Raw genomic sequence first — 20719 nt, forward strand, 5'->3', positions numbered from 1 at the left:
GTCCTACATTTCAGTTCCCTACCACTCAACTCCCACATCACTGATGATGTTGACTACCTTGTCATATGCTTTTTGGCCATTTTAATATACTTTATAATGTGTAGCATACAGTGTATACTCGTATAGTACTGTAGTTCTGCAATGAGGGAAATGTTCTGTGCTTGTGCTGCTCAGTACAGTAGAAACTAGCCACATGTGGCTGTTGAGAACTTCACCTGTGGCTAGTGGAGCATAGAATGTTAATTTTCAATTATATTTGATTTTAGTGTAAATTGCAATAATCACATGTGGTTAGCAGCTACTATATTAGACAGCACAGGTAATGAAATGACTGTTTAAGTTTTTTTCCCCACTTTTCTATTGGGTGATTCTTTTTGTATTGATTTATAGGAGTTTGTTTTATTTTATTCTTAGATACAAATTCTCTGTAGATATATGTGTTGGAATTATCTTCTTTCATTTGGGGTTTGCCTTTTTACCTCATAATGTTGTCTTTTGATGAAAAATTTCTTTTGTAGTCCACTTTACCAGTCTTTTCCATTATAGTTAATTGTTACGGAATAGTTTTAATGTTCTATGGATTTTTACATTTACTTTATTAATTTAAATTTTTATTTATAGTGGCTAAGCTAGTAGAGATCTATCCAGAAACCACAGTAGAATCTCTGTATTATTTTCCTACTTAATTTCAAAAAATATGAACATCTAACTGATAATTCCTACTAAATTTTGATTCTTTAATAGCAGTTTTTACTTTTATTTTCATTAGGTGAAAATCAGAAGGCAGTTGAGTTTATGAATATGAAGAAATCTCATGAAGTTCAGGCAATGTCAGAGCTGATCAGCAGTATTGCTGACTACTATGGAATAAAGCAGGTAAGAGTATTTCCGTATGTTTTTAGGTGTTAAAATTATTGCCACTTTTTGGTATTATTCATATTTCACCTTTTTACTGTCAGCTAGCCTTTAAAATGTCATTAAATAATAGCATCATTTAAACATCAGATCCTTTAAACATCAGATTCTTTAAGCATACACTGTTATTTCCTAGTATATTGTAATTTTAGAAAATTTATAGTAAAATCAAGACATGACTGTTAATGTTTTGCCACACATTTCATTCTTTTCAGAGTGGACAGAAATTAAGCTTAATTCTCTTTGATAAATTTTCTCTCCAGTCTGAGGTAGCATTATGAGGATGACATTCTGCAAAACTGTTTGCTGCTAGATGTTTTCAGGATATGGGTTACCAAGCTGTGGTCTGGGATACCTGCATCATTATAGTAACACAAAGTAGTTATGTTTTTAAGACTTGGATTATATCATAGTGTTTGATTCACAATGCATTCCTGTTTTGAAAAATAGTTTTTATGGTAGATAATGATATTGGATAGTAGATTTTAAAATAAGATTAATGATTGTACACATTGGCCTATAAAAATAGTAAGTTATTTTTCTTATTCCTTGTTTATAAAAATAGTAAGTTTTTTCTTATCTCTAGAAGAAGATCGGTGGTGGTAATGGAGATTTTCCTTCCTGTAATTTTTATTAGGTATTAGAATCTTTCCATGGATTCATCAAAACTTGAGAGTTTGAGGATGATTAGAAAACTATGAAAGTTTGGCATAGGCTTGCAGAGCCACTTGTGGCAACATGGATCTCTAGGGTGGGTATAGAGTAAGAGCTAAGGTAATACTAGTTTTCAGCCTTTTCTCCAGATTCTCATACCTAAGCAATATCTGTCAGTACCAGTAACAGCCTTATGGCAATGATACTTAGCCGGAGTCGAAGAGGCAAGCCCTCCCCCATGGTGCCATATCAAAATCTTGGGGAGCGAGTGCTGTTTCTAAATATCTTTCAGGTGGCAGCCAACCTCTATTAAGAGCAGTAATAATGGGATTGGTCTCTAGAGGACCAAATACATAATTTAGTTAGAATTAAAAGGGGCATAATGAACTCAGACTTAAGGCATCAGTTAATATAACAGCAAGTCCACTGGAGACGACAGAGCCCTAAAGACAGAAAATTCAGATAACTGGTAGTCAGCTAAGCTGGATACAGGTTCTGTACATGGATGGTACGAATCCAGTTACAGAGTAGGAGAATGGAGTAAAGGTCCAGTCTTGAGGGGAAATCTGGTCTGAATGAGGCAGAACAAGAACTGGACTTAGATTTTATATAGAAACCAAGGCAAAGACCCAGTCATTTAGTTTGGGAATACAAAGCAGAAGCAGGAAAATATAGAAGTGGCCAAAACATAATGTGTACTATATGAAAGGGATTTTAGTCAGGATTCCTATGGGGTTGGTTTTACAGATTTTTCTTTTTATTAAAAATATAATGATGTATCACTGTGTAAGATTTATTTACACTTTAAATATAATTCAGTCTTAATCACTTTCTAGCCAATGTGCAAAATTTGTCCATAATCCTAACTTTATTGAGATATAAATGAACTTATGTTAATTGTACAGTGTGATGTTTTGTTAGTATATGTGTGTGTGTGTGTGTATAAATGTTATATAAAACATATATAACTTTTCATTGTGCATATATACCACATTTCTTTATCCATAAATTCATTGATGGACACTTAGGTTGTTTCCGTATTTTGGCTATTATGAATAGTGTTACAATAAACATGAGTGTCCAGATATCTCTTCCATATACTGATTTCCTTTTTTTTTTTTTTTTGGATATATACCCAGTAGTGGAATTGCTAGATCATATGATAGTTCTATTTTTAGTGTTTTGAAGAACCTCTATACTGTTTTCCATAATGGCTGTCTAATTTACATTCCCACCAACAGTATATGAGTTCTCCTTTCTCTACATTCTTGCCAACACCTACCTTAATGCTTTTTGATAATAGCCTTTCTAACTGGGATGAGATGATATCTCATTATAGTTTTTATTTGCATTTCTCTGATGCTTAGTGATATTGGACATTTTTTCATATACCTGTTGGCCATTTGTATGTCTTCATGTGAAAAATGTCTATTCAGATTTTTTGCCCATTTTTATTTTTTTATTTTTTATTTATTTATTTTTTATTTATTTTATTTATTATTATTATACTTTAAGTTTTAGGGTACATGTGCAGAATGTGCAGGTTAGTTACATATGTATACATGTGCCATGCTGGTGCGCTGCACCCACTAACTCGTCATCTAGCATTAGGTATATCTCCCAATGCTATCCCTCCCCCCTCCCCGCAACCCACAACAGTCCCCAGAGTGTGATGTTCCCCTTCCTGTGTCCATGTTTTCTCATTGTTCAGTTCCCACCTATGAGTGAGAATATGTGGTGTTTGGTTTTTTGTTCTTGTGATAGTTTACTGAGAATGATGATTTCCAATTTCATCCATGTCCCTACAAAGGACATGAACTCATCATTTTTTATGGCTGTTGCCCATTTTTAAATCAGATTATTTGCTTTTATTCCATTGAGTTGTTTGTGTCCCTTATGTATTCTGGTTGTTGATCCCTTGTCGAATGGGTAGTTTGCACATGTTTTCTCTCAATCTGTGTGTGTCTCTTCACTCTGATTGTTTACTTTGCTGTACAGAAGGTTATTAGCTTGATGTGATCCCATTTTTGTCCATTGCCCATTTTTGCTGTGGTTGCCTATGCTTTTGAGGTCCTACTGAAGAAATCTTTGCCTAGACCAATGTCCTAGAGTGTTTCCCCAATGTTTTCTTCTAGTAGTTTCATAGATTCAGGTCTTAGATTTAAGTCTTTAATCCATTTTGATTTGATTTTTGTATATGGTGAGAGATAGGGGTCTAGTTTCATTCTTCTGCTTATGGATATCCAGTTTTACCATTTACTGAAGAGACTGTGCTTACCCTAATGCATCTTCTTGGCACCTTTGTTGAAAATGAGTTGGCTGTAAATGCATGGATTTAATTCTGGGTTCTCTATTCTGTTTTATTGGTCTATGTGTCTGTTTTTATGGGAGTGTCATACTGTTTGGGTTAGTATAACTTTGTAGTATAATTAGAAGTTAAGTAGTGTGATGCCTCCAGCTTTGTTCTTTTTGCTCAAGATTGCTTTGGCTGTTCTCTGTCTTTTGTGATTCCACATAAATTTTAGGATTTTTTTTCTATTTCTGTGCAGAATGTCATTGATATTCTAATAGGGATTGCACTGAATCTCTAGATTTCTTTGGGTAATATGCACATTTTAACAATATTGATTCCCCTAATCCATGAACATGAAATATCTTTCAGTTTTTTTGTGTCCTCATCAATTTATTTCATCAATGTTTTGTAATTTTCACTGTTGAGATCTTTAACTTCTTTGGTGGCATTTATTCCTAGGGATCTTATTTTGTAGCTATTGTAAATGAGATTACTTTCCTGTTTTCCTTTTGAGATTTTTCTCTGTTGTCATATAGAAATGATACTAGTTTTTGTTACTGATTTTGTATCCTGCAACTGTACTGAATTTCTTTATCAGTTCTAATCGTTTTTTGATCGAGTCAGTTTTTCTAGGTATAAGATCATATCATCTGTAAACAAAGATCATTTGACTTTTTCCTTTTAAATTTGGATGCCTTTTATATCTTTCTCTTGCCTGATTGCTCTGGCTAGGACCTCCAATACTATGTTGAATAAAAATGGTGAAAGTGGGCATTCTTGTCCTGTTCCAGATCTTAGTGGAAAGGCTTTCACTTTTTCTCTATTCAGTATGATGCTAGATGTGGGTTTCTTTATTTCTTTTCCTCTATTAATTTTAGGTTTGGTTGGCTCTTGCTTTTCTAGTGTTTTTTTAAAGGTGTATTGTTAGGTTGTTTATTTGAAAATTTTCTACTTTTTTGTTACATGCATTTATTGCTGTCAACTTCTTAGTACTACTTTTGCTGTATCCCGTGGGTTTTGGTATGTTGTGTTTCCATTTTTATTACTTTCAATACATTTAAAAATTTCACTCTAATTTCTTCATTGACACATTGGTCATTCAGGAGCATGTTGTTTCATTCCCATGTGTTTTTATACTCTTCAGAGTTTCTCTTGTTATTGATATTTGACATAATTTCAATTTTGGGGATTTATTTTGTGTCCTAACATATGGTCTATCCTTGGGAATGGTCCATGTGCTGAGAAGAAGAACATGAAGCTGTTGGGTGAAATGTTCTGCAAATGTCTACTATGTCCATTTGGTCCATAGTGCAGATTATGTCTGCTGTTTCTTTGCCTACTTTCTGTTTGGATGATCTGTCCAATACTGAATGGGACTGTTGAAGTCCCCAACTATTATTATATTTTTAAAATGCGATTTAATAAATACAAATTTCATGAGGTAAGTAGAAACCCAGATTCTGAAATACATAACCTTATTGGTGACCATAGAGAACTAAACAAGAATATCATTTTTACCTCAGCCATATTGCTCCCTACATGCCGAACACCTTTGTCTCTTTCATTCACATTACCAAGGCTTCTTAATTTTTATCTCTAAAACATGTTCACTCATTCATACTTGCATGCATTCATTCATTTAGCAAATATTTCTTAGCTCTTAACCATGTTCCAGGCATTATTTTCTATACTGAGGGTGCATCAGTGAACAAAACAAACAAGAAATATTTTTGCCCTAGTGGCATTTATGTTCTAATTAGGAGAGATTGACAATAAAAAGGTTATGAGTGTATTTTAATGTGTATGTTGATATATTTTAAAGATGAAAAATTAAAACAAAAGGGAGGAGCTTATCTGGGGATAGTTAATTAAAGTTTTTGATACAGAGGGGAAGGTCAAGTAAGACCTCATTGTAACGATAATAGAGTTAAAACCTTCGGGAGGTAAGCTATCCATTAGATGATCTAGAGGAAAAACTTTTCTTATAGAGGGAACAACAAGTTCAGTGGCCCTGAACATGCATACTTTGTTTCTGAAACATCCAGGAAGTCAGATTGAACAAGCAGAAAGTAGTAGGAGCTGAGGTTGTGGTGGAAGAAGACAGGACATTAAGTTGCAATGTCTTGGAAGTCATTGTGATAATTTGGGGTTTTTATCCTGAATGAGACTGGAAGCCACTGGAGCCACTGGATCATTCTTTCTACTCTGTTAGGTTGTATTATGAAACAGATATTTCCACTATATTTGCCTCTTTTCTTTACCATAGTCTTTGTGGACATTCGAGCTGGTTACTTTGCAAAATTAGCTCCTATCTGAGCAGGAGCATCCAGAGTTGAAGCAAAAAGACTCAGCAAACGTAGGAGTTAACAGTATGAGATGAAACCAAAGAGGTAATGAGGGATTTGCTAAGAGTAGTGATATATGATCAGACTTTGTTTTTCTTTGTTGAAAATGGAGTGAAAAGGGAAAGGTGAGAACAGGGAGATCACTGAGAAAGCCATTGCAGTTAACCAGGCTCAGGATGGAGTTGGTATGAAGTAGCTCTGGTAAGTGATGAGATCATGGATTTGCTCACAGTTCAGATGTAGCTTATGAGAGACAGAAGGAGTCCTGTTCTTTACCTGGAGGTATGTTACAAATTTGAGAGTCATTAGCTTGGAATGGTAGTTAGATCTCTAGGTCTGTCAGCAAAATGTATCTTTACTATCTAAAGTACAGTACCATACTAGTGTTATTACAAAATTTAACCACTGCTTGTAACAATGTTTCTGTGGGAAAGTCTCCTAAACAACATTGGGATACTCAGAAGATCCCTCCCACCAGGTATTGGACTAGAGACTCCTCTGTCTTCAAACCTATAATGTATGGCATATGATCCAGCAGGGACGTCTATTGTGGGGAAGGGCAGGAGATCAGGGTGGTGGGGATTTTCCTATTCTGATCAGATAGTTTGAAGACAAAACTAATTAAATAATAGAGTTTCTACTATATAGCCCTTGCATGAGTATGATATGGTATCTGCAGTTAGACTGTAGTTTCTTAAAGTCAAGATTTACAGTTGTATGCTGCATAAGGACATTTCAGTCAACAACAGACCACATATAAGATGGTAGTGCCATAACATATAATACTGTATTTTTATTGTACCTTTTATATGCTTAGATACACAAGTGCTTATTTTGTTATGTATTCAGTACAGTAATATGCTGTACAGGTTTTTAGCATAGTTGTCTAGTAGGCTATACCATCTAGGTTTCCATAAGCACACTCAAAGATGTTTGCACAACAAAATTTCTTAATACATTTCTCAGAACATATTCCCATCATTAAGTGATGCATGACTGTATATAATTCTTCTGTGTTTCCCTGCAATACCTATCCTAGAATAATAACATAAAATGGAAGTATAGGGAATAATTACTAAGTTTATTTTGTATTTATGAGACATTATTTACTGGAGTTTTTCCTATGAACTGGTCTCATTGTAAGACCTTGAAACGTTTTGAGGATTTAATTACGGTTATGCATTACTGTAAGTATAGGAATGTTTCCTTGAGTGGCTCATACTTATGTCAAGATTTCATTGACTTTAGAAATTAAAGATATGTATAAGAGTAGGTAATGATTTGTTGTGATAGTATTTCCATAGTTCTCCATTTATTTTATGAAATGACATGGCAATTATAATGTTTATAACTTTTTATTCTTATTTTTTGTTTCATTGAATGTGTAATTTAAATATTCACCAACTCTAGCTTTGATAAATTTTGGTAATTATAACAGTTAATGTAACCACTAGCATAATTAAGAATATACCTATCCTCCTAAAAACTTTTCTTGTGTGATTTTGTAGGATATTTTCTCTTTCATTCTCAGAGAATCACTGATCTGCTTTTAGTTTTGACTTTTCTAGAACATTGTACAAATGGAATCATAGTATGTAGACTTTTCATTTCAGTTCTTCCACTTAGCACATAGTATTTGAGAGCAATTGATATCTTTTTGTGTATTAATGCCTTGTTCCATTTTATTGCTGAGTAGTATGCCATATGCTGTAGTCCAGATATGCTATTTGTTTTTTTATTTACCAGTTGATGGACATTTGAGTTGTTTCTATTTTTTGCCTACTATTCAGAGTAAGACTTCTCTGAATATTCACATATAAGCCTTTGTGTGGACATGTTTTCATTTCTCTTAGATAAATTGGAGTGAGATGGATGGGTCATATGTAAAGTATATTTAACTTTATGGTAAACTCAGTGTTTTCCAAAGTGGTTATACCATTTTACATCTGCGTACATCTCACTGTGGTGGTTGTTTGTATTTCTCTAGTGATATTAGGCATCTTTTCACATTGGCAGTGTGTATATCTTATTTTGGGAAGAGTACGTTTGAATATTTTGCCTGTTTTCTAACTGGGTTACTTGTCTTCTTACTGAGTTGTAAGAGTTCTTTATTCTAGATATAAGTCCTTTCTCAGATAAATGTTTTGCAAGTATTTCTTTTCATTTTTGTCTTTTTGAATAGAAGTTTTAATTTTAGTAAAGTCCATTTTTAAAATTCTTTTGTTATTCCTGATCTTTATGTCCTACATAAGAAATGTTTGCCTATCCAAATGTCACAATTTTTCTCCTGTTTTCTTCCATCAGATAACATTTTTTTCTATTATGTTTACATCTCTGATATACTTTTAATTAGTTTTTGTGTTTGATTTGTAGCAGACAAAAATTTTTTTTCTTTTTTTTATATCAACATCCAGTTATACCAGCACCATTTGTTGAAAAACCTATCTTCTTCATTAAATTATCTTGGGCACTTTGTCCAAAATCAGTTGATTATATAAGTGTGGATCTATTTCTGTACTGTTTTTTCCCATTGATTTATATGTTTATTTTTATATCAGCTGTTTCTTTCCATTTTTTCCATTGATTTATGTGTCTGTTTTTATACTAGCTGTAGCTATACTACACTGTTTTAGTTTTATATTTTTGAGTCAGTAAAATTCTTCAACCTTATTCTTTTTCAAAAGTGTTTTCATTATTTTAGGCATTTTTGCCTTATTTTTTAAATCATAATATCTACTTATCAATTTCTTTACAAAGCTTAGCTAGGATTTTAATTAGGATTGTGTTGAAATGTGAAGAAAGAATTGCCATCTTAGTATTGAGTCCACCATTTCATGAACATAGTATATCTCTTTATATCAATTTTTTAGTTTTTTATGCAGTGTTTTATAGTTTTCAATGTATAGGTTTTGTACATCCTTCATTAAATTTATTCCTATATATTCTATTTTTATTCTATTTTAATTGTTTTAAAATTTTACTTCCTAATTTTTATTTTTCTTTTTTTTTTTATAGAGACAGGATCTTGCTATATTGGCCAGGGCAGTCTCAAACTCTTGGCCTCAAGCAGTCCTCCCTCAGCCTCCCTGAGTGCTGGGACTATAGGTTTGAGCCACCAAGCTTGACTCCTAATTGTTTTTTGCTACTATATTATATATGTTCTGATGATTCGTTGTTAATTCTATTGACTTTGTGCCCTGACACATTGCTAAATTCACTTACTATTTCTGTTAGCTTTTTGTATATTCTTTAAGATATTCTGCAGACATGACTATGTCATCTATGTACAAAAAAGACAGTTTTCCTTTTTCCCTTACATTATTTATTTCTTTTGCTTCTTTTCATTGACTTATTAAACTAGCTAGAACCTCCAGTAAAATGTTGAATAAAAATGATGAGTGGTTGGTTTTTCATAGGAATAAAAAAAAATTAAAATAATATTTAAGTTATATAACTCATTTGTTTACTTCAAAAAATCTAGAATGCTTTCTATTACCATTTGCCTAAAATTCTTTAATTTATTCTTTTTTTCTAATCTTAGGTGATTGACTTGGGTTCCGGTAAAGGCTACCTAAGCTCTTTTTTGTCCTTGAAGTATGGCTTAAAAGTTTATGGAATTGATTCTTCAAATACCAATACTCATGGAGCTGAGGAGAGAAACAGAAAATTGAAGAAACATTGGAAACTCTGTCATGCTCAGTCAAGATTAGATGTCAATGGACTAGCATTAAAAATGGCAAAAGAAAGGAAAGTGCAAAATAAAGTTAAAAATAAAGCTGATACTGAGGAAGTGTTTAACAACAGTCCTACAAATCAAGAAAAGATGCCTACCTCAGCTATTTTGCCTGATTTTTCTGGCTCTGTAATTTCTAATATCAGAAACCAAATGGAAACCCTTCATTCTCAGCCACATCAAGAAGAAAATTTGTGTTTTGAAAATTCCTTTTCTCTTATAAACCTTTTGCCTATTAATGCTGTAGAGCCTACTTCTTCACAGCAAATACCCAACAGAGAAACATCTGAAGCCAATAAAGAGAGAAGAAAAATGACATCAAAGTCAAGTGAATCAAATATATATTCACCTTTAACCTCTTTTATCACTGCTGATTCAGAACTCCATGACATTATTAAAGATTTGGAGGTGACTTTACCTTTGAATTATTTAATTTGATTTACAAAAACATTGTATTCAATTTTAATAGTAGCTTACTTAACATACATATCTTACTTGATCACATTAATCTAACAGACCAAGAAAATGAAATCATAAGTAGGCTTTCATTATTCCCACACCCATCAAAACCTGACATGAGCCTGTTCAGAATAGAGTATCCTCTACTCATTTCAAGCCTCTTAAATCAAATTGAAGTCCTGGCACAAAAGCTAGTAAGTAAACTAAGTTCTCATTCTGCAGTTTAGGAATTGTTAAAATTCTAAACAAGTAGTTAAATTTTAATTTAAATTTGAAGTAAAGGGATATCTAGAACAAAGTAATGTTCAATGTTACACTTGCCAATATGGAATTTCCTTGAGCAAGAGTAGCTTCTAAGTGTTCTTCAAAGCTTGAACTTTTTCTAAATTACAAGTATGTCAGTTTATGTAATTGAAAGACAGCAGATCTTAAAGGCAATGTTGCATGTTGAAACAGTATTATAGAGGAGATTCTAGAGATCGTTTGGCCTAACTCATTGTCTCAAAAAAAAAAAAAAGGTAGCTTTTGGAGTTGTATTACCCTTGTAATTTTTTTTTCTTTTTAAAGAAATTCTTCCCCAAAGAAATGTATAAATAGGCTGAGTGCCGTGGCTCACGTCTGTAGTCCCAGCACTTTGGGAGGCCAAGGCAGGTGGATCACGAGGTCAGGAGATTGAGACCATCCTGGCTAACATAGCGAAACCCCATCTCTACTAAAAATACAAAAAAAAATATATATTAGCCGGGTGTGGTGGCAGGTGCCTATAGTCCCAGCTACTCGGGAGGCTGAGGCAGGAGAATGGCATGAACCCTGGAGGTGGAGCTTGCAGTGAGCCAAGATCGCACCACTGCACTCTAGCCTGGGTGACAGAGCGAGACGGTGTCCCCCCCAACAAAAAAAAAAAGAAAAAAAGAAATGTATAAATAAAAGAGATAGTAGAGTTCTTTATAAATTTAAATCCTTGTTTGATAGCTGACCATTGTTTTACCATTTTTTAAATGGGAAATTTTTCTTTTTCCCAGATATTTTTGGATTTAAGGGAATCTAGTGTACCTTCATTAATTCTTTTTCTTATACATGAAATTAGTAATTATTTTAGACTTTCTTTTAGGGTTAAACAATCTCAATGACTTTAGTTTAACTTAAATGTAAATTTCTAGTACATTTTGTCACCTTCTAATTTTCTCAAAATCTTGCTGAAAATATATGATCAAAACTGTATACAAATTCTTTTAAGAACCATCTAAAATAAGATATACTGGAAGAATGTTTCTTGGATCCTATAGCAAATCACAATTTAATAACAGAATTAACTAACACCCCCTATTCCCCCTACCCTCTCGCAATACTTAAATATTTTACTAGTAGGATAATATGGTGACTACATATTTTTGTCTCCTAGCTGCTACTTGCTAATATTAACTAATCTTATATGATAAATACAATAAAGAATGAGGTTAAATGTTCTTTTATTTTCTTTAGGGAGAGCTAAATTAAGCTTAAAGAGAGAAATTCGTAGCTTTATTACTCTGTCCCTAAGTAGCAATAAATCTTGTCTGAATTATTTTTTACTGATGACATCATAATCTCTAAATAAAACCTATCTAAACTAATCATCAAGAAAAGCAGAGTAGCTGTATAAACCTCTATAAACTGTGCTTTGAAAAGGATAGTGCTTGAAGCAACTGAGTGTTCTATCAGGTCAAAACCACTTACAGGCGTAATTTTTTTTTTAGTAAGTTTGATTACAGCTGTCTTTTATGTCTAGGACATAGGCTAAAATAACATTTTAGTAAAATAATTTTTAAAAATGTTAGTGAAACAATTATATGCTGACAATAGTTATAAAAATGTGTTTGAGAAACAAGTTAATACTTAACGTTATTTTGAATTTGTAATTTAAAGTAAATTACAATGATAAAAAAATGGACAATGTTTTCTGAATTTTATTATATGGTAGTGTACTAAGTCATTTACAGGGATTAGTTTACTTAAGTTTTGAAAGAACCCATTGAGATGAAGTACTGTTATTATCTCCATCTTACAGTTGAGGAAATCAGTTTCCTCAATTTGCTTTCCAAATCACACTGTGACAGAACTTGAATTTAGACAGGCTTTTTCCCGAGACTGTGCTCTTAATGACTGTACTACAGGTTATGCAATTAGTTCATTAATAACTATTTCTTTAACATCTCTTAAGTAAACACATGTATCTTTAATATTTACAGCTTTAAGATTAATTTTAGTTGGTATTATAAAGTACCAACTAAAATTAGTTGATGAGTAATACTTTAGAGAACACTTTGAGAGACATGATGATTTAATTTTAAAAAACTAGAAATTAATATACCTATATTCACAGATTTACACTAAAACATGATCTTTACATTATCATGGTTTGAGTGTCATCTGGAAAATTGAGAGGCTACTATTAGAAATTTTTTAGTTCCAAATGGTAAAAGTATGTGATTCTAATAGGGTACAGGTTTTCTGTATAAATTTTTTTTCTTACAAGTTTCTTTTTACTCCTACTTTAACTAAATTTTTATGAGTCATGTCAAAGACAGAAGAGTATTATTAGTAAATTCAACTTCAAAATGATTGTTGAACAAGATTCTGTGCATGTATACATTTGTACTCATTGTGTATGTGTGTGTGTACATTTAAATTAGGCTTTGGATAATTAGAATAAACATTTCATAGGAGAATTTTAAATACGATGTATACTATAAAATTTGGAAAAAATTTTTTAATTAAATTTTATATTGTCATAGTTGATGCGGTGTATAAACTAAGCTTTTTGTTGTTAAAGTAGAAATACCAAGTTTACAACAGTTATTTATTTTTTATAACAATATTTTATAAGGTTTTGATGGGCAATCTGAGACGTGAAATTAATTTCAAAAATTAATATTATGGTCAAAGTGTGATATAAATTTATAACAAAGCACAGGTTTGGTCTAGAAATACATGTTACATTTGATTAGTCCAATTTTTGCTTTGTCTAGTTGTTAAGCAAATATTAGTTGTAAAATGGGAGAAAATATAAACAGGTAAATAAGTGAAATCACTGAAAAAAATTCAAAAGTTGTAAAAAGAGATCACAGTTATTTTACCTATAAAGAAATAATTATTACTATGAAAATAAAAACATAGAATACTTTCTAGGTAGAATTTGATAATTATTAACAGCTTTACATATTTTAATGGACGTTAAAGTTGAAAGATTTAATTTAATCTTTAAATCATTAAATCATTAAAGATTTAATGGATGTTTAAATTGAAAGATTTAAAATCTTCAACTCATGCTGTGGGCGGTACAATGTGCTTGTAGTCCCAGCTACTTGGGAGGCTGAAGCAGGAGGATCATTTGAGGCCAGTAATTTGAGTCAGTAGCACGTGATATTCGTGCCTGTGAATAGCCACCACAGTGCAGCCTGGGCAACATTGCAAGATCCTGTATGTAAAAATAAATAAAAATTTTAAACAACCCTCTTTTTAATTACCAAATTTTATTTTTCTTCTTGTATTTTAAAGGATTGTTTGATGGTGGGTCTCCACACTTGTGGTGATCTGGCTCCAAATACTTTGCGAATATTTACCTCCAACTCTGAAATCAAGGGAGTTTGCAGTGTGGGTTGTTGCTACCACCTCTTATCTGAAGAATTTGAAAACCAGCATAAAGGTACAAGTTCCCCATGTGTCATAATTTTTATTCATTTGAGCATAATGAAATATGCTATTTCTATTTTCTATTTCTCCCCGTTTTTTCGTCATTACCATGATTTGGATCAGCATTTAAGATAACATCTGACTTACTTGCACTTTTAGTGTTACGGTGTTATTGAAATTTAATGCATCACCACCTGTATATTTGTTATAGTTTCTTTGGTCATAAAATGGGCTTAATGAGTGCTGAAGCCTTTGCAAATATTTGAAAATTTTATGTGATACATATTTTAGAGAACTTCTGTTTTAAAATACTTGTGAAGTATACATTTACTGAGTTAGTAAAACTGAGTTATTTTGTTATGAATATTGAATTTCAAAGTTTGCTTTTGTTTCCAAAGCCTTTTTTCATATCTGAAGGAATACTGATATTTAAAAAAGAAAAAGTTCTTTACTGTATTTTGAAGAGTCAACATACCAAAATTTTAGAAAACTTTAAAACTGTGTGATTGCATTAAAATAATAGTATTCAAACTATGCTACCTGTACTTAGAAGGTGCTGATGAGCAGAGTATGGAGTAGGTTTGCAAGATTTGAAGCACCCCACATATTCATTCAGAGCAGCTCCTGAAATAGCTGTTTGCTCCATTTTACATGTTAAATCTTTCCATAAGATATTGTAAAATATGATTTCAAAACTGCTGGTTCAGATTAGATGGTTATTTAGTATACTAATAATAGTAGTTCGTTTTTATGTTAGTTTAATGATATCTTTATCTGTGTCCTTGCTAAGAGTTTTAGATCGGGAATTTTTAGGTTACCAACTTTTGTGTGCATTAAGATGGTATTGGTTGATCTTTTCTTAGTTTTAAAACCCAGATTAATATATTTTAATTATTTCTTATTTAGTCATGCCCAGGAGGTAAACATTGTAATTGTTTAATTTTATTGAAATGTGACAAGGTGAAACAGAAACCATTTTTAGAATTGGCACACATTTTTACGAAATATAGTTAATTAAATTATAATTATTTTATGTCAGTGTTTTGACATTTTTATTTTAGGAAAAGTATGAAATAGTGAAATTATGACTGTATAGAGATAGAATGAAAGAAAGCAAATTAGCAAAAATTTAGCACTAGTTTAATTTAGATGGAGAGTATACGATTGTCATGCTATTATTACCAACTCATTTTTTTCTAAGTACAGAAATTTTCAAGACCAAAAATTAGGGTAAAAAATGAACTTAGAAAAAAAAAGTATTTCTACTAAATTATATACCCACATATTTACATTATATTATAGTATTTTTATGTATCTTTTCTGAAATAAATGAAAAAATACTTTAATGCAATCACAGTTCTACAGCTTTTTAAATGTTCTGTGTATAACATTTTCCTTAATTGGCAGTAGGGTAAGATTTATGTAGGTAAGTGCTTCCTTTTGGGGTTTACTATTTGGTTGTTAGTTCAAGAGTTTCCTGTTCTGTAGGTACAATGAAATTCAATTAATAAATGGCTCAATTTGGGGACAGGTGTAGACACTTTGTGTGTCATTAAATTTAGAGACACTAATGCCAGCAATTTGGGAGGCCGAGGCAGGCAGATCACCTGAGGTCAGGAGTTCAAGACCAGCCTGGCCAACATGGTGAAACTCCGTTTCTACTAAAGATACAAAAAATTAGCTGGCCATGGTGGTGGACGCCTGTAATCGCAGCTACCCTGGGGGCTGAGGCAGGAGAATCTCTTGAACCCAGGAGGCACAGGTTGCAGTGAGCCAAGATGGCGCCATTGCACTCCAGCATGGGCAACAAGAGCAAAACTCCATCTCAAAAGAAAAAAAAAAAAAATTAGAGTCACTATCCTTACACTACATTTTAAGGTCTTTAATTTCAGTTACCTGCTTCCTTCTTTCACTTTATCATCATTGCCCCCAAGGATGCCTTCCCATTCCAAGGGGCCTCCCTCTCCTCTTCACGCAGTGCTTTCTTAAGACTGCCATCTCTGGTCAGACCCTAGCAGCCATCACTCTGTACTGTGAAGTCTCAGAGGTAGTCTCAGTATTTTCCCACCAAAGATGAACCCTATCCTTTTTGGCAATGTAGTCTACTCTCTCTCACACTCTTTTCTGCACAGTTGCACCTTACTCTTTCTCCAGAGTGATCCCCAGAGCTCATTCTGCTGGTTTAGGATAGTGTCTTTCCTAACATATTTAAATTAAAATTTGTTGCGTTGCTGTGGATTGTGAGCAATTTTATCTCTTGCCTGTTTTTTTGTAAAATATGTAAATAGATTCAGATTTAGGTGACTATCATTATTTTATGGTAACCAGAAGGTGTCATTACTGCCTTTTTTATCTGATGTTGGATTCTTCAATCTCATACTTAAAAAAAGTAGCAGAAGTTACTTGCCAGGATTGAAAAAAGAAATTTAGTTACTCCTTGCTAATCCATTTTAAATCAGCTTTCCAGTACGTTTTCTAATAGATTATTGCTTTAAACTGTTAGCAAATATTCACTGGTCATGTATTCTAACTAAAATGAATTTGAATAGGGCATGTTAGATAGAGAGGGCTTTGAAAAACCTAAAGGAAGAAAGAAGCAAGATTGTGCATCCACATATTGTCATTGCCATTTCTTTCCTGCAAATGAAAAATTGGTAGATTGATTAGTCTTGAGAGGCACCAGATTCCATTCACTTTTGTATCTTCAGTACTAAGCACATTCACTCAAACGTGATTGAATAGATGAATGTTTGTATAATGTGTGTCAAAAACAAGTAACTAGGAATAGAAAAAAAATCACTGTTTTCCTGCCTTGGCAGCTGCATTTTACACACATAAGAGAGTATGTTATTGCACTGAACAAACATTTATTGAGCAGCTACTATTTTCAAGGCACTGTAGTTGGTACTTTATGTAAAATAAAGGGAAATGGGGGAGAGGCTCATAAAAAGTCAATAGTTATGGAAAGAGATAGGAAAAATAGATGACAAGCAGAGTTCAGTTCAACATCATCAGTGCCAACTGTGTTCCACTCTGTGCTTAGTGGTGGAGATACAAAAATGAGATATCGTGTTCACCCTTAAATAATTTCTTTAAAAAGCCCTCAATCCTAGGAACCAGATAATCCTTATTAGTAATTTTTTAAAAACATTGTTTTTTTGTAAAAACTATTTAGAATAGAAAATTCAAATAACAAAGGAAAAGAAAATACAAAGTAAGTCCCCGTACCTATATTGTTTTTTTATGTATCTTTCTAGAAAAAAAGTACATATACACATTCTATATTCTTATATGTTTTAGGCAAACAAATGTATAAACTGTTCATCACCTTTTTTCCACATAATATATTTTTTATAGTCTTTCTGTATCAGCACAGAGAACGTTGCTTTAGTCTTTTTCATTTTGCAAGGTGTTTAATATATTGTATTTTATTTATTCAGTACTAAATAGTTAATACTTGCTTAAGGCAGTGGTACTCTTCTTTTAATAAACCAAAATTTAGTGAACTGTTGAGCAGTTCAATGTAGAGTTTAGAGAACATAAAATATGGCACTAGTGTTCATCTTTGTTTTCTTTATCATCAAACATTAGTTTCAAAATAATATAGTAATTGCTATAAGACAGGGTATTACATCTGTTATCTTACAGCAGAGTAGCATGTAGCTCAGTCTGTGAGGGGTTGAGGGTATATTCCCGTGTGGTGATATCCACTGTGTCTTGAAAGATTCAGTAGAGGTTAATCAGACAAGGAAGTAAGAAGTGTATTGCAGGCAGAATAAACAAAGGCATGCAGTGATAGATGTTTAAAATCAAGTTTTTTTTTTTCTCTTTGACTTCATAGTCACTTTTTCTCATTGTAATTGTCTTTTCTTCTGTCTTATTCTTGCTCATGTCTTTCATAGAAGCAATTATAATGATAATCCTAATGTCCATTTCAGTCAGTAAAAAGGCATGATTTTTATTGACCTCCTTTCACATTTAAGATTACTCCATAATCTGTTTTCCAAAAATCTCTTCTTGGTTCTCTTAGTTTCTTTCTTTAGTACTTGGTCATTCATAAAATCATTTTTGAGTCTTCTAAGGAAATTAGTTGAAGAGAATAGCTCCAAACTTTTGCACACTAGAAATGGAAGCCTCTCAGTTAACAGATTCTCAAGCATTAGTCTTGTATCCTGCCTGGGTAAAGGCAGTTTTGTCTTCTCTTCTGAAGTTGCTGTTGTTCACTGTAGGTTTGCAGGACATTTTGGCCACAGGATTTAAATAAGAAAAAGTGTTGGAAAGGTTTGTGAGAACTGTGACCAGCAGCTATAAACTCTGAATTTCCCTCCCTATAGGAATAGTAAACTGGAAAGGCCTTCCTGTCAAAAATATCTTACCCATCAAGAATCATTGATATGATCAGGCAAACAATGCTAGGCTTCAGTGGGGAAAGCTAATAGTAATATCTTAATGTTACTTAATTTCCTGATACATACTTGAAATGAATAGACGATTGGGAGTTTTGCTTGTCAGGAAAGCAAAGAATAAGCAGGAGGAAACAGGACTGAGTGATATGATGAAATGGGCGGGGACGTATGCAACGTGAGTACCCTCAAATACTTCGGAGGTCAAGAAAACAGTTGGAAAGCCAAGAGATAAGAGAAAAATGTGGAAAAATAAGTGATAGGAATAATGAAAGTAAACTTGGTTTATATTACAGTTTTGCCTAGCCCTGGACTGCCACATTTTCTCATCTCAAAAACCAGATGGAAAAGGTAACATACTCCCTTTTCTCTTTCCAACACTCCATCTCCATTTTTCTCACTGTATCTTTGCTGTAGTAAAACAGAGAAGATGTGAACCATCCCATGAAATTTTTATAACAGTATTTCTCAATTCTAGCTGCCTAGCTGAGTCGAATTTGACACTTTTAGTGTATAGATGCCTGGACCTGCCTCTTACCTTCTGAATAATAATCTCTAGGCATAGGACTTGAATATAAGTATGATTAAGAAGTTCTATAGGTAATTCTGATGAACAGCATGGTTGAAAACAAGGTATGTATTATGATTATATAAGAAGACATGAAGAATTCTACAGGATGACTTATAGATATATGTTCAAGATTATTTATAGTTATTGTTCTTCTATGCAGAGACTTAGATGGGTCCTAGTCAAGTGCCAGTTTGCGGATTCATATGACAGGTTAAACTCAAAAGGGCCTAGGAGTGTACATCAAAGTCCAAAATGCAGAGAGCTGGAGTAACTAGACCAAAACAAAGTCCTTGAAGTATAGAGGTCAGAGCAAAAACCTGGGGAAAAAAACACAGATGCAAGAGGGCAGGAAACTGGGTCATAAATAGGGAATGAAGTTAAGTGGTTAGAAGCTAAACAAATTCAAGGAGAAAAATCTAGAACAAGTAAAGTATGTTTGGGATAATTATTATGGGTATCCCTAGATTTTTGATAGCTTACCTTTATCAATGAACAGATGTGACTCCGTGTGTGTGTGTGTGTGTGTGTGTGTGTGAAGGCAGACAGTGGCAAACAGAGTTGGTTCTGGGCTATTTAGCAGAAACTATTTTGATAGATGGAATATGGACATAGCCTTATTTTGTTTGTACAGTATATGCTATGGAGGCCTAGTATTCCATACTAAAATACAAATCTACTGCTATATAGTTTGATCATTATGCTAAAATATCTGACTTACAGAGAAAGGGGTTTATGTGCACAAAGTTAGCATATTTCCTGTAATATATCAAGCACTAGGTTCCATGGAGTTATATCTCTGAATGGTCAAATATGTCATGTGTCCTTCTCTTAATATCTTACACACCTTCACCCTCACTTTATTTGCACAGCTGTTTTTAAGTTTGAATTGGGGCAGTGTTGCCCTTTGGGATGTAAATTTGAGTTATTAATAGTCTAGCATAGTACAGTAGAAAATTCTGGTATGTACATTGCTACTTTTTATGATGATATTTACTATGTAAACAATATATGTTTTCCATGAATGTGTTTACCCAATACAGTGTGGTAGACCATGCAGGTAGTCTGTCATGAATGTCAGTTTTCAAAAATACCGCAAAGCTCTATGAGCCATTGTGAATACTGAATTTATACCATATGTTTTAAAACTACTTTTAAATATTTTTACATTATAAGCCAGTTGTCCCTAGGAGAACAAGAAATACGAGAAACATTTTTATTGCAGTCCTTTATAGAGTGTCTGTTTGGCCAAGCTTGATTAATGTTTCAGTATTTTGAATATTGATTATTGTAATAATTAATTTGAAGTGTTTACATTATTTCTTCTTCTAGAAGTTTTGGAGATAACTTTTTTGGGTAAATACCAGTATAACTTGGTTGTTTTCCTGATAAAAGGTATAAATAGAGGAAGCACTACTAGTTACCAATTCAGATCCACACATTTTTTCTTCTTTGCTAACTGAACCATGATTTTGTTAAGGAATCATCAGTTGCTACTGGGAGCAACTCTTGCCAGGGTGCAAATTTGTGACTGATCTGCTCCTTCCCTGCCTCCTCCCAGCCTAGTAGACCCAGGGCATCTTCTAGTATTGTTAGTGCACTCCACATTTGCACAGTCAAATATCAGTGGTGTAACCCTCGAAAGCCTGCAGGCTTAACTTCATGTTTACCCCCAGC

At 33.0% G+C, this 20719-nt stretch overlaps 1 protein-coding gene across 20 annotated transcripts in view, besides 1 other annotated feature; it reads left to right on the forward strand.

The window, feature by feature from the left end:
- The window catches only part of METTL25 (methyltransferase like 25), a 120711-nt gene that overhangs the window by 30518 nt on the left and 69474 nt on the right, over window positions 1–20719 (forward strand). For 12 of the 20 annotated variants that reach the window (NR_144943.2, NR_144942.2, NR_144940.2 and 9 more), the window contains 3 exons: window positions 770–876; window positions 9749–10348; window positions 13937–14084. Coding sequence is in view for 11 of the 20 variants with exons in the window: in NM_001319675.2 (NP_001306604.1) it covers window positions 770–876; window positions 9749–10348; window positions 13937–14084 (855 nt within the window). In the remaining 9 variants the exon portion in view is untranslated. Of the gene's footprint in view, window positions 1–769; window positions 877–9748; window positions 10594–13936; window positions 14085–18770; window positions 18826–20719 lie in introns of all 20 variants that reach the window. The other 8 variants (XR_007063135.1, XR_007063138.1, XR_944768.4 and 5 more) reach the window with 2 other exon arrangements.
- Window positions 12324–12618: a silencer, noted in NCBI's record as "tiled region #15106; HepG2 Repressive non-DNase unmatched - State 24:Quies". NCBI's record gives its function as "represses a minimal TATA promoter and a strong SV40 promoter by Sharpr-MPRA in HepG2 cells {active_cell/tissue: HepG2}" and the evidence as "EXISTENCE:reporter gene assay evidence [ECO:0000049][PMID:27701403]".

This window comes from Homo sapiens, chromosome 12 (assembly GCF_000001405.40).
Source record: "Homo sapiens chromosome 12, GRCh38.p14 Primary Assembly".
Lineage (NCBI taxonomy): Eukaryota > Metazoa > Chordata > Mammalia > Primates > Hominidae > Homo > Homo sapiens.